The 15,239-nt window shown below is 48.7% G+C and overlaps 1 protein-coding gene across 24 annotated transcripts in view, besides 1 other annotated feature; it reads right to left on the bottom strand.

Annotated features, from left to right (window-relative positions):
* CAMTA1 (calmodulin binding transcription activator 1) overlaps positions 1-15,239 on the bottom strand; it is a 984,253-nt gene that overhangs the window by 162,042 nt on the left and 806,972 nt on the right. The window lies entirely within an intron of this gene.
* Positions 11,521-12,021: an enhancer, noted in NCBI's record as "H3K4me1 hESC enhancer chr1:7655704-7656204 (GRCh37/hg19 assembly coordinates)". NCBI's record gives its function as "activates a minimal SCP1, AML or CMV promoter by ChIP-STARR-seq in primed H9 embryonic stem cells {active_cell/tissue: H9 hESC(primed)}" and the evidence as "EXISTENCE:reporter gene assay evidence [ECO:0000049][PMID:30033119]".

Here is a 15,239-nt window from a genome sequence, read left to right as displayed (position 1 = left end):
ACCCATCTGCCTACCCACCCACCTATCCATCCAAATATTTATCTATCATCCTCCAAAGAATCCACCTATCCACACATCTATCCACTCATTCTCCCACCCCTCCATATATGCACTACCCATCCACTCATCTTCCATCCATCAACCCCTCCACTTACTCATCTATTGACTATCTATCCATCTATCCATCCATCCATCCATCCACCCATCCATCCATCCACCCACCTATCATTCCATCTACACATCCATCCATCCATCCATCCATCCACCAGTCCACCTATTCACCCATCCATCCATCTACCCATCCACCTATCTTCCATCTATCCATTGACCCATCCATCCATCCACCCACCTACCATTCCATCCAACCATCCACACACCCATCCATCCATCCATCCATCCAGCTACCCACCCATTCACCCATCCATCCAGCTGCCCATCCACCTATCTTCCATCCATCCACCTACCCATCCATCCATCCACTCATCATTCCATCCAACCACCCATCTAACCATCCATCCATCCATCCATCCATCCATCCATCCATCCTTCCATCTACCCACCTACTCCTCCATCCATCCACCCATCCAACCATCCATGCATCCGTCCTCCCTTCTATTTAACATGTATTGAGCACCTGTTGTTAAATGCTGATACCACTCTGAGTATTAAAAGAAGCAGTTCCTGGCTTCAAGGAGCTAACTCTCCTGGTGCTGAGGCAGACATGTGACTAGGGTCACACAATGACTTGAGTGCTCAACTAGAGGAATGTAGACAGCATCTAAGGATCCTGCAGCTCCACACTCCCCATTTCCTCCCCAGCCATCCCAGGGGCTCCAAACCCCTCCTCACCCTGATGATCCTTTGGATGGCTCCTGGGCTGGCGCTGTCCTCTCTCATCAGTGGGACAGGCCTCTCCTAGGGTTTGAGGTTGGAGGTGGGAACCATCCTCCATGTTCCCATCCCCTGGAGAGGAGGACACGCTTGTGCTGTGAACATGCAACATTTTCCTCCCAGCTCTTTCACAGATCATGTCTGGTGCTTTTCGATGCAGCAAAGAACATTTCAAACGAGTCCCTGGCAGGCTCAGTTGGGAAGTTCTTTTGGCCACTTAAAATCTCAGCCTCTGAATGTAAGGCATGCTGGCGGTAATTGTTCAAGAAAATAAAATGAAAACAGATACAGCAAGTTTCTGGTTATTTATCAGCTGTAGATATAGGCCACTTTTCATCATGCTGAGCCTCAAGAAAAGATAAAAGCACGAGAATTGATCTGAGCCTCTAGAGGGAGTGTCACACATTGCTGCCCAACAAGTGCCATCTTAAATGAACCACTTCCCAGCCTGCATCATGGCCGGCAGCTGCTGGGTCTCAGGCCCTGCCCCAGCCACTCCTTGGACCGCTGGCATCCTCTGGCTGTTTCCTAAGCACCCACAGAGGCATCTGTCAGCCCCTGCCTGGGAAGAAGGTGCTGAGAGTCTGGACCTGGGGAGGATTTTGCTTCAGGACCAGGGCTGGGGGCTTGACCAATGCCTCCACCGACTACACTGGTCAGTCTCCTCCCAGACTTGCCAGAGTGACCTCTTTATTCTCTGCTCAGGGGCCTTGATTGGATCACATGACTCAGGGGCAGTGGGCTCTGAGATGAAGCCTTCTACAAGCTCCCCCGAGGGCAGGAGGGCAGGGATGGAGCCACAGATCCAAGGGAGGACAGTGTCACCTGAGAGCACTTTGTTGTCCCTCTCTGTGATGTGTCAGCTTGACTAGGCCACAGAACCCAGCCCTTCTGGCGGTCACAGTGATGGTCCTTTTTAGATGAGATTAATATTTAAATTGGGGGGTGGAGCCAAGATGACCAAATAGGAACAGCTCCAGTCTACAGCTCCCCGCATGAGCGACGCAGAAGACAGGTGATTTCTGCATTTCCAACTGAGGTACCGGGTTCATCTCACTAGGGAGTGTCGGAAAGTGGGTGCAGGACAGTGGGCGCAGCACACCAAGCATGAGCTGAAGCAGGGCGAGGCATCACCTCACCTGGGAAGCACAAAGGGTCAGGGAATTCCCTTTCCTAGTCAAAGAAAGGGGTGACAGATGGCACCTGGAAAATCAGGTCACTCCCACCCTAATACTGCACTTTTCCAACAGTCTTAGCAAACGGCACACCAGGAGATTATATCCCACACATGGCTCAGAGGGTCCTACGCCCACAGAGCCTCGCTCATTGCTAGCACAGCAGTCTGAGATCAAACTGCAAGGCAGCAGCGAGGCTTGGGGAGGGGCGCCTGCCATTGCCGAGGCTTGAGTAGGTAAATAAAGCGGCTGGGAAGCTCGAACTCAGTGGAGCCTACTGCAGCTCAAGGAGGCCTGCCTGCCTCTGTAGACTCCACCTCTGGGGGCAGGGCATAGCCAAACAAAAGAAAGCAATAACCTCTGCAGACTTAAATGTCCCTGTCTGACAGCTTTGAAGAGAGTAGTGGTTCCCCCATCATGCAGCTGGAGATCGGAGAATGGACAGACTGCGTCCTCAAGTGGGTCCCTGACCCCCGAGTAGCCTAACTGGGAGGCACCCCCTAGTAGGGGTAGACTGACACCTCACACAGCCGGCCGGGTACTCCTCTGAGACAAAACTTCCAGAGGAATGATCAGGCAGCAACATTTGCTGTTCACCAATATCCGCTGTTCTGTGGCCTCCACTGCTGATATCCAGGCAAACAGGGTCTGGAGTGGACCTCCAGCAAACTCCAACAGACCTGCAGCTGAGGGTCCTGACTGTTAGAAGGAAAACTAACAAACAGAAACGACATCCACACCAAAACCCCATCTGTACGTCACCATGATCAAAGACCAAAGGTAGATAAAACCACAAAGATGGGTAAAAAACAGAGCAGAAAAACTGGAAACTCTAAAAATCAGAGCACCTCTCCTCCTCCAAAGGAAACCAGCTCCTCACCAGCAACGGAACAAAGCTGGACAGACAATGACTTTGACGAGTTGAGAGAAGAAGTCTTCAGACGATCAAACTACTCTGAGCTAAAGGAGGAAGTTCGAACCCATGGCAAAGAAGTTAAAAACCTTGAAAAAAAATTAGATGAATGGCTAGCTAGAATAACCAATACAGAGAAAGCCTTAAAGGACCTGATGGAGCTGAAAACCACGGCCTCAGAACTATGTGATGAATGCACAAGCCTCAGTAGCTGATTCGATCAACTGGAAGAAAGGGTATCAGTGATGGAAGATCAAATGAATGAAATGAAGCGAGAAAAGAAGTTTAGAGAAAAAAGAATAAAAAGAAACAAACAAGCCTCCAAGAAACATGGGACTATGTGAAAAGACCAACTCTACGTCTGATTTGTGTACCTGAAAGTGATGGGGAGAATGGAACCAAGTTGGAAAACACTGCAGGATATTATCCAGGAGAACTTCCCCAATCTAGCAAGGCAGGCCAATATTCAAATTCAGGAAATACAGAGAACGCCACAAAGATACTCCTTGAGAAGAGCAACTCCAACACACATAATTGTCAGATTCATCAAACTTGAAATGAAGGAAAAAATGTTAAGGGCAGCCAGAGAGAAAGGTCGGGTTACCCACAAAGGGAAGCCCATCAGAGTAACAGTGGATCTCTCAGCAGAAACTCTACAAGCCAGAAGAGAGTGGGGGCCAATATTCAACATTCTTGAAGAAAAGAATTTTCAACCCAGAATTTCATATCCAGCCAAACTAAGCTTCATAAGTGAAGGAGAAATAAAATACTTTACAGACAAGCAAACGCTGAGAGATTTTGTTACCACCAGGCCTGCCCTAAAAGAGCTCCTGAAGGAAGCACTAAACATGGAAAGGAACAACTGGTACCAGCCACTGCAAAAACATGCCAAATTGTAAAGACCATCGAGGCTAGGAAGAAACTGCATCAACTAACAAGCAAAATGACCAGCTAACATCATAATGACAGGATCAAATTCACACATAATAATATTAACCTTAAGTGTAAATGGGCTAAATGGTCCAATTAAAAGACACAGACTGGCAAATTGGATAAAGAGTCAAGACCCATCAGTGTGCTGTATTCAGGAAACCCATCTCACGTGCAGAGACACACATAGGCTCAAAAGAAAGGGATGGAGGAAGATCTACCAAGCAAATGGAAAACAAAAAAAGGCAGGGGTTGCAATCCTAGTCTCTGATAAAACAGACTTTAAACCAACAAAGATCAAAAGAGACAAAGAAGACCATTACATAATGGTAAAGGGATCAATTCAACAAGAAGAGCTAACTATCCTAAATAATATGCACCCAATACAGGAGCACCCAGATTCATAAAGCAAGTCCTTAGAGATCTACAAAGAGACTTAGACTCCCACACAATAATAATGGGAGACTTTAACACCCCACTGTCAACATTAGAAAGATCAATGAGACAGAAAGTTAACAAGGATATCCAGGAACTGAACTCAGCTCTGCACCAAACAGACCTAATAGACATCTACAGAACTCTCCACCCCAAATCAACAGAATATACATTCTTTTCAGCACCACACCACACCTATTCCAAAATTGACCACATAGTTGGAAGTAAAGCACTCCTCAGCAAATGTAAAAGAACAGAAATTATAACAAGCTGTCTCTCAGACCACAGTGCAATCAAACTAGAACTCAGACCACAGTGCAATCAAACTAGAACTCAGGATTCAGAAACTCACTCAAAACCACTCAACTACATGGAAACTGAACAACCTGCTCCTGAATGACTACTGGGTACATAATGAAAGAAGGCAGAAATAAAGATGCTCTTTGAAACCAATGAGAACAAAGACACAACATACCAGAATCTCTGGGACATATTCAAAGCAGTGTGTAGAGGGAAATTTATAGCACTAAATGCCCACAAGAGAAAGCAGGAAAGATCTAAAATTGACACCCTAACATCACAATTAAAAGAACTAGAAAAGCAAGAGCAAACACATTCAAAAGCTAGCAGAAGGCAAGAAATAATTAAGATCAGAGCAGAACTGAAGGAAATAGAGACACAAAAAACCCTTCAAAAAATCAATAAATCCAGGAGCTGGTTTTTTGAAAAGATCAACAAAATTGATAGACCGCTAGCAAGACTAATACAGAAGAAAAGAGAGAAGAATCAAATAGACGCAATAAAAAATGATAAAGGGGATATCACCACCAATCCCACAGAAATACAAACTACCATCAGAGAATACTGTAAAGACCTCTATGCAAATAAAGTAGAAAATCTAGAAGAAATGGATAAATTCCTCGACACATACACTCTCCCAAGACTAAACCAGGAAGAAGTTGAATCTCTGAATAGACCAATAACAGGCTCTGAAATTGAGGCAATAATTAATAGCTTACCAACCAAAAAAAGTCCAGGACCAGATGGATTCACAGCCGAATTCTACCAGAGGTACAAGGAGGAGCTGGTACCATTCCTTCTGAAACTACTCCAATCAATAGAAAAAGAGGGAATCGAGGGGAGGGGAAGGGAAGGGAGGAGGGAGGGAGGGAGGGAGGAAGGAAGGAAGGAAGGAAGGAAGGAAGGAAGGAAGGAAGGAAGGAAGGAAGGAAGGAAGGAAAGAAAATTGGAAAGGCTCCTCCTCTCCCTCTCCCTCCTCTCCCTCTCCCTCCTCTCCCTCCTCTCCCTCTCCCTCTCCCTCTCCCTCTCCCCACGGTCTCCCTCTCCCCACAGTCTCCCTCTCCCCACGGTCTCCCTCTCCCTCTCTTTCCACGGTCTCCTCCTGATGCCGAGCCAAAGCTGGACTGTACTGCTGCCATCTCAGCTCACTGCAACCTCCCTGCCTGATTCTCCTGCCTCAGCCTGCCGAGTGCCTGCGATTGCAGGCGCGCGCCGCCATGCCTGACTGGTTTTCGTATTTTTTTGGTGGAGACGGGGTTTCGCTGTGTTGGCCAGGCTGGTCTCCAGCTCCTAACCGCGAGGGATCCGCCAGCCTCGGCCTCCCGAGGTGCCGGGATTGCAGACGGAGTCGCGTTCACTCAGTGCTCAATGGTGCCCAGGCTGGAGTGCAGTGGCGTGATCTCGGCTCGCTACAACCTCCACCTCCCAGCTGCCTGCCTTGGCCTCCCAAAGTGCCGAGATTGCAGCCTCTGCCCGGCCGCCACCCTGTCTGGGAAGTGAGGAGCATCTCTGCCTGGCCGCCCATCGTCTGGGATGTGAGGAGCCTCTCTGCCTGGCTGCCCAGTCTGGAAAGTGAGGAGCGTCTCTGCCCGGCCGCCATCCCATCTAGGAAGTGAGGAGCGTCTCTGCCAGGCCGCCCATCGTCTGAGATGTGGGGAGCGCCTCTGCCCTGCCGCCCCGTCTGGGATGTGAGGAGCGTCTCTGCCCGGCCGCACCGTCTGAGAAGTGAGGAGACCCTCTGCCTGGCAACCGCCCCGTCTGAGAAGTGAGGAGCCCCTCCGCCCGGCAGCCACCCCGTCTGGGAAGTGAGGAGCGTCTCCGCCCAGCAGCCACCCCGTCCGGGAGGGAGGTGGGGGTCAGCCCCCTGCCCGGCCAGCCGCCCCGTCCGGGAGGGAGGTGGGGGGGTCAGCCCCCGGCCCGGCCAGCCGCCCCTTCCGGGAGGTGAGGGGCACCTCTGCCCGGCCGCCCCTACCGGGAAGTGAGGAGCCCCTCTGCCCAGCCACCACCCCATCTGGGAGGTGTACTCAACAGCTCATTGAGAACGGGCCATGATGACAATGGTGGTTTTGTGGAATAGAAAGGGGGGAAAGGTGGGGAAAAGACTGAGAAATCTAATGGTTGCCATGTCTGTGTAGAAAGAGGTAGACATGGGAGACTTTTCATTTTGTTCTGTATTAAGAAAAATTCTTCTGCCTTGGGATCCTGTTGATCTGTGACCTTACCCCCAACCCTGTGCTCTCTGAAACATGTGCTGTGTCCACTCAGGGTTGAATGGATTAAGGGTGGTGCAAGATGTGCTTTGTTAAACAGATGCTTGAAGGCAGCATGCTTGTTAAGAGTCATCACCACTCCCTAATCTCAAGTACCCAGGGACACAAACACTTTGGAAGGCCGCAGGGTCCTCTGCCTAGGAAAACCAGAGACCTTTGTTCACTTATCTGCTGACCTTCCCTCCACTATTGTCCTGTGACCCTGCCAAATCCCCCTCTGCGAGAAACACCCAAGAATGATCAATTAAAAAAAAAAAAAGAAAAAGAAAAAGAGGGAATCCTCCCTAACTCATTTTATGAGGCCAGCGTTATCCTGATACCAAAGCCTGGCAGAGACACAACAAAAAAAGAGAATTTTAGACCAATGTCCCTGATGAACCTCGATGCAAAAATCCTCAATAAAATACTGGCAAACTGAATCCAGCAGCACATCAAAAGCTTATCCACCATGATCAACTGGGCTTCATCCCTGGGATGCAAGGCTGGTTCAACATACGCAAATCAACAAACATAATCCAGCACATAAACAGAACCAACGACAAAAACCACATGATTATCTCAATAGATGCAGAAAAGGCCTTTGACAAAATTCAACAACCCTTCATGCTGAAAACTCTCAATAAATTAGGTATTGATGGGACGTATCTCAAAATCATAAGAGCTATCTATGACAAACCCACAGCCAATAACATACTGAATGGGCAAAAACTGGAAGCATTCCCTTTGAGAACTGGCACAAGACAGGGATGCACTCTCTCACCACTCCTATTCAACACAGCGTTGGAAGTTCTGGCCAGGGCAATCAGGCAGGAGAAGGAAATAAAGGGTATTCAATTAGGAAAAGAGGAAGTCAAATCGTCCCTGTTTGCAGATGACATGATTGTATATCTAGAAAACCCCATTGTCTCAGCCCAAAATCTCCTTAAGCTGATAGGCAACTTCAGCAAAGTCTCAGGATACAAAATCAATGTGCAAAAATCACAAGCATTCTTATACACCAATAACAGACAAACAGAGAGCTAAATCATGAATGAACTCCTATTCACAACTGCTTCAAAGAGAATAAAATACCTAGGAATCCAACTTACAAGGGACATGAAGGACCTTTTCAAGGAGAACTACAAACCACTGCTCAATGAAATAAAAGAGGGTACAAACAAATGGAAGAACATTCCATGCTCATGGGTAGGAAGAATCAATATCATGAAAATGGCCATACTCCCCAAGGTAATTTATAGATTCAATGCCATCCCCATCAAGCTACCAATGACTTTCTTCACAGAATTGGAAAACACTACTTTGAAGTTCATATGGAACAAGAAAAGAGCCCGCATCGCCAAATCAATCCTAAGCCAAAAGAACATAGCTGGAGGCATCACGCTACCTGACTTTAAACTATACTACAAGGCTACAGTAACCAAAACAGCATGGTACTGGTACCAAAACAGAGATGTCGACCAATGGAACAGAACAGAGCCCTCAGAAATAATGCTGCATGTCTACACCTATCTGACCTTTGACAAACCTGACAAAAACAAGAAATGGGGAAAGGATTCCCTATTTAATAAATGGTGCTGGGAAAACTGGCTAGCCATATGTAGAAAGCTGAAACTGGATCCCCTCCTTACACCTTACACAAAAATTAATTCAGGATGGATTAAAGATTTAAATGTTAGACCAAAAACCATAAAAGCCCTAGAAGAAAACCTAGGCAATACCATTCAGGACATAGGCATGGGCAAGGACTTCATGTCTAAAACACCAAAAGCAATGGCAACAAAAGCCAAAATTGACAAATGGGATCTCATTAAACTAAAGAGCTTCTGCACAGCGAAAGAAACTACCATCAGAGTGAACAGGCAACCTACAGAATGGGAGAAAATTTTTGCAATCTACTCATCTGACAAAGGGCTAATATCCAGAATCTACAATGAACTGAAACAAATTTACAAGAAAAAAACAAACAACCCCATCAAAAAGTGGGCAAAGGACATGAACAGACACTTCTCAAAAGAAGACATTTATGCAGCCAAAAGACACATGAAAAAAATGCTCATCATCACTGGCCATCAGAGAAGGAAGCAAATCAAAACCACAATGAGATACCATCTCACACCAGTTAGAATGGCGATCATTAAAAAGTCAGGAAACAACAGGTGCTGGAGAGGATGTGGAGAAATAGGAACACTTTTACACTGTTGGTGGGACTGTAAACTAGTTCAACCATTGTAGAAGTCAGTGTGGCGATTCCTCAGGGATCTAGAACTAGAAATACCATTTGACCCAACCATCCCATTACTGGGTATATACCCAAAGGATTATAAAACATACTGCTATAAAGACACATGCACACATATGTTTATTGTGGCACTATTCACAATAGGAAAGACTTGGAACCAACCCAAATGTCCAAAAATGATAGACTGGATTAAGAAAATGTGGCACATATACACCATGGAATACTATGCAGCCATAAAAAATGATGAGTTCGTGTCCTTTGTAGGAACACGGATGAAGCTGGAAACCATTATTCTCAGCAAACTATCACAAGGATAAAAAACCAAACACCACATGTTCTCACTCATAGGTGGGAATTGAACAATGAGAACACATGGACACAGGAAGGGGAACATCACACACCGGGGCCTGTTGTGGGGTTGGGGGAGGGGGGAGGGATAGCATTAGGAGATATACCTAATGTTAAATGAAGAGTTAATGGGTGCAGCACACCAACATGGCACATGTATACATATGTAACAAACCTGCACATTGTGCACATGTACCCTAAAACTTAAAGTATAAAAAAAAAAAAAGTAGATGACGGGTTGATAGTCGCAGCAAACCACCACGGCATATGTATACCTGTGTAACAAACCTGCACATTCTGCACATGTATCCCAACACTTAAAGTAAAATTTAAAAAAATTTAAAAAATATATTTAAATCACTAGACTTTGGGTAAGCAGATGACCCTCCATAATGTCAGTGGGCCTCAATCAATCATTGAAGGTCTTATGCAAAAAAGACTGAGGTCCCCAAGAAAGAAGCAATTCCACCAGCAGATGGCTTTCAGACTCGACCTACAACATCATTTCTTTCCTGGTCTCCAGCCCGTTGACCTACTCTGTAGAATTTGGAGCCCCACAATCATGCTCCTCTCTCTCTCTCTCTCCATATATATACACATCCTATTAGTTCTGTTACATGGAGAACCCTGACTAATACAGTTCCCACCCAGGAAACACATCTTCTGCTGCAGCAACCCTATGGAATACTCAGGGGTTGCGAAGTTCAGGGCCAAGCTCTCTTTTCCTTCCTGTGGAGGCCTCGGGGCCAGAGTCAACAATCAATCAGCCAGTCAATAAGAAGAAAAACTCGCAGTGCTCCCGCTACTTATCAAGGCTTCACTCTGTGCAAAACACTGAGTGAACATCACAGGCGTCAGCTCATCTTGTCCTCGCACCAGTTCTAGGAGGCATTGCTCCCATTTGGAAGCAGGGGAAATGAAAACTCAAAGAGGTCAAGCACCTTGCCCAAGGTCATGTGCAGCTAGTAGCTGGTAGGGTCAAGACTTGCACCCAGCTTTGTCCAAGACCCTTGCCTACTCAGTGGGCTCGTGTCCACTGGGTAAGTGGGCTCGTGTTTGCTGGGTGCCTGGGGAGAGCAGGTTGGTGGACGTCAGCAAGGGGCAATAGAAAGGATGAAGATGCCAACAATGTCCAAGGCCTGGGGCCACAAGGGGATTACAGGTGGAGACACTGGTACCCTGGACCAGTCCTCAGTCTCCTGGGCTGCCAGGGGGCTCCGCCTGTCTCAAGGGCATCAGTTCTGCTCATGCTAGGAGTTACTGCATGTCTGTCATCTTGTCACTCTCTCCTGCAGATAGAGACATGGGTGGGGGTGGGGGGATGAAATCTACAAAGCCATGTCAAGTTGAGTGATTGTGCAGTGGCTCACTGCCCCTCACTGCTCCAGGAAAGGCAATAAAGCTAGGAGAACCAATAAAAGCAAGTGCCGTGGGGCTTGACGGATTTGGCTGTCCCCAGCGGGTGATGGCCAATTCAACCACAGAGGAAAATGGAAGTCAGAGCAAACCAGTCCAGGGAGCGAGTGACCCTGAGAAGCCTGGCACCCATCGTTCATCTGAGGAGCAGGCACCTGTCAGCCTGGGTGGGAGCAGGCCTTGTGCATGGCCCTGAGTGGAGGGAAGGCCACAGCACAGGGCTGTGAGTGGCCATGGGGAGTGCTTCACGGCCCCTTGGACAGGGAAGTGGGCACCTGCGGCCAGCACAGGACACACAGAAGAGTAGGAGCAGGCATGGGGGTGGGAGAAATGCTGGGCAGATTCGGGGCCAAGAAGCCTGAGTCAAACTATATCTTCTGAGCTGATCCCTTGTTCCCAAGATCCAGCTGCACCTGGCATGGAGCTGCCCTCTCCATTTCTATCCAGGCCTGGGTCACCCAGCCAGCATGCTGGATTGCAGTGGGTGGGGCAGACAGGCCCCAGCTTTGTCACCTCAGAGAGCCTCCTGCTTCCCCTGAAGCTGGCTCCTGGGCACTGATGCCCCACTTGCACCAGCCACTCGGCTCTGCTTCCTCCCACCCTCATCTGCAGGCAGCCAAGCCTTGTCACTTATTGCAGCGGCCCCTCCCTGACTTTCCACCCATCTTCAAGGACAGAGGGAGCAAGACGGATGGGGACAGTGAAGCTAAATTGCCCAGCTTGCTGTTGCTGAAGCCGGGGTCCCCAGGAAGCCAAGAGGAGGCAGAGGCTGAGGCTGGTCAAGTGTCAGGCCCCTAATCTCATCCTGGAAGCTTGGGAGGCTGCACGTTCCTTGGGATGTCATCCTTTTGGCTAGATTGGGAGGTGTGGTTGTGGAAAGTGGCCACAAGTAACTGTGATGCCCAGGTGGGGTGGGGGGTTCCGCCAGGGCCATGAAAACACAACAGTCAGACCTCAACACTCAGATCTCTTGAGCTCTGTAACCTCAGGCAAGCCTTTTGCATTTCCTCATCTCTGAAACAAGGCTAACTCCATGTAGCTTCTTATTAACCAGCCTGGGCCTCAGTTTCCCCATCTCTAAAATGGGGGCAATCTCACTGGTGTCACCTCAGAGGGTTGTTGTGAAGATCCAGTGGCTTCTCAGCCTCCAGGGTCTGGAGCTGTGCCTGGCCTGTGCAGGGCATCCCCGGCGGTGTCCGGGCTCCGTGGTGCTGAAGCAGAATCAGCCTCCAGATTCAGCAGAGCCGCGGGAGGAAACAGCTTCCCACCTTCTTCGTTTAAAGAAGAACCAAATTAAGGCACTAAGTTTATACATTAATTTTGCTACAGACGGGAGAACTGAAATAGCTTTCTAAAAGGTATTTTTAAAAACTGCTTCTCAATGCTCCATTAAAGGGCTCTCTGCCTTGCCTCGGAGTCTCTGCAGCTGCCAAAAATACGATGAAAATTACTCAAATGCAGACTTTGTTGGCTCTGAGTTTGCCAACTTGCTTCAGATAATCTGAAAGCTGATCACATTTGATCTGAGACACAGGCGCTCTTTTGGATCAATATGATGATCCAGGGCTGCCTCGAAGTGCGCACCGCACCCCTTTGTTTAGAGATCCACCCAGGACCCCTATCCTGAAAGACCCCTCTTCTTAGTTTATGGAGTCCCCATCATCAGCTCCATCCAAGCACCCTCCGCTTCCTGTCTCATGACCTAAGATGTTGGGGTATCCCAGCTCAGTCTTAGGCCTCTCCTCTTTTATTGGGTGATCCCCCATCGCCTGACCCTTGACTCCTTCATTCCTGAATCACATTCCAACTTCACCAATTCCGAACCCATAGTGCTCACTGCCTGCTGGATCTGTCTACCCAGATCTCCGACAAGCACCTCGACTGCAATATGACCCGAGGGGAGCTCTTCATCCCGCCTGTTCCCCGCTGGGCCTCCCTTTCTGAGGACAAGAACCTTCCATGCAGCTCTTCAAGCTCTGAATCCATGTGTTGCTCTGAAGTCCTCTCTTCGTCTTAACTTCACATCCAAACCATCAGCATATTTGTCAACCTTGCCTCAAAATAGGTCCCAGACCTCTGTCCTCCTCTCCCCACCCTGCTCTGCCCTGGTGCAGTCACCACCCTCTCTTGTCTGGACCCTGAGAGGGCCTTCCAGTAGCTCTGCAGGCCGCCAGCCCAGACTTTGCAAACAACCATGTTGCCCAAAGCAGCCAGAGGGAGCTTTTAAAACACATCAATCAGATCATGTCACTGCCCTGCTTGAAATGCCCCAAGGCATCCCCTGCGATTTGAATAAAACCCACACACTCTGCCCTGTGCCCAGGGCTTGCGGGTCCCTTTGCTCACCAGCTCTGCCCCTGTTTCCTTTCTTTTTCCTTCCTCCCAGCCTTGGTGCCTTTACCCCGGCTGGTCCCCCTGTCTGGAACATTCTTCCCCTAGGTCCTTAAAAGGCTGCTTCTGTGCCGCAGCTCAAATACCACCTCCTCTGACAGTCCTTCTTTTCTTTCTTCCTTCCTTCCTTCCTTCCTTCCTTCCTTCCTTCCTTCCCCTCCCTCCTTTCTTGTCTTTTCTTTCTTTCCTTTCTCCTTCCTTCTTTCCTTCCTTCCTTCTTTCTTTCTTTCTTTCTTTCTCTCTTTCTTTCTTTCTTCTTTCCTCTCTCTCTCTCTCTGTCCCTCCCTCCCTCCCTCTCTCTTTCTCTTTTTTGTTTTAACAGAATCTCACTCTGTTGCCCAGGCTGGAGTGTAGTGGTACGATCTTGGCTCACTGCAACCTCCACCTCCCAGGTTCAAGCAATTCTCCTGCCTCAGCCTCCTGAGTAGCTGAGATTACAGGCACATGCCACCATGCCAGGTTAATTTTTGCATTTTTAGTAGAGACGGGGTTTCACCATGTTGGCCAGGCTGCTCTCGAACTCCTGACCACAGGTGATCCACCTGCCTTGGCCTCCTAGTGTTAGGGGCCAGGTACAGTGGTTCACGCCTGTAATCTCAACAGTTTGGGAGGCCAAGGCGGGTGGATCACTGGAGGTCAGGAGTTCGAGACTAGCCTGGCCAACATGGTGAAACCCCTGTCTTTACTAAAAATACAACAGTTAGCCAGGCGTGATAGTGCATGCTCGTAGTCCCAGCTACTCAGGAGGCTGAGGCAGGAGAATCGCTTGAACCCTGGAGGCAGAGGTTGTAGTGAGCCAAGATCACGCCACTGCACTCCAGCCTGGGTGACAGAGTGGGACTCTGTCTCAAAAAAAAAAAAAAAAAAGTGCTAGGATTATAGGCATGAGCCACCTCACCTGGCCAGAGTCCTTCCTCGACCCTTGATCAGGAAAGCCCACAGGCCTTATGTGTATCTAGATACGCATCTAGATAGCATTTTCTTGTTTATTTGCTTATCATCTACTTCTTCCCACTGGGTCACCAACTCTATGAGAGCAGAGACTCCAGGACTCCAAATGCCCAAGACCCAGAATCATGCCTGGCACACACTCTCCAATAAATCTTGAGGAATGCATAAGTGAGACCTAGGACCTGTCCCAGGTGATTCACTGTGCAAGATATGCTGTTTCTCCCCCTGGAATGTCTTGACTGGCAAAACCCGGACCTTTACCGAGCCATCTCTGGCTGCTTTCAGGCCTGGATGAGAAATCACTGCCCCAGAGTGGAGTGGCATGAAGGAGCTTTAACAGGCTCAGATGGCAGGATGGCATAATGGCTTTTGGGATGTAGGCACCTGAAGCCCAATCCCACCATCTAGATGCTGTGGGACTTGGACACATTCCTTAATAAGCCTCTGAGCATCAGTTTCCTCCTTGGAACAGCAGTTCTGCCTCTCGGCCCTGCTGAGGTTTAATGCAATATTGCATTTCATGAGGTCATGATGCCTGATCCCGCCCTAATGTTTAACACATGGCCATAGCTATTACTGTTGTTACTGTTATAGAGGCTGAGGTGTGTGAGGGTGGGGAGGAGCTCTCGGAGAATCCTCATTTTCCAAGGTAGAGGATGCAGGAGATGCTGGTTGACTCCATGAGGACACTGTGTGTCCTATGTTCAGGGCACAGACAAGCTTCCGACCTGACCCAAAGCCTCCCAGAGGCAACTCATGCAGCAACGCCTGGACACTCCCCACTCATTCCGCACTGGTAGGTGGCTTGCAGGACAGCAGGTCTTTCCCACGGCCCTGTGTCCCTAAGAGTCCCTGCCCTGGTCATCAGAGGACCCCCAGAGGGTGCTGGCCCATTCCAATAGGACCCTACCTATGTCTCATGCTTGGAATCATCACCAATTCAATCACTCCATGAATATCTGTCCTGTTCCTGTTAGGAA

The sequence above is a fragment of the Homo sapiens genome, chromosome 1 (assembly GCF_000001405.40).
Source record: "Homo sapiens chromosome 1, GRCh38.p14 Primary Assembly".
In the NCBI taxonomy this organism is placed as follows: Eukaryota; Metazoa; Chordata; class Mammalia; order Primates; family Hominidae; genus Homo; species Homo sapiens.
The sequence above is the reverse complement of the archived record's forward strand: the minus strand, read 5'-3'. Positions and strand labels throughout refer to the sequence as shown.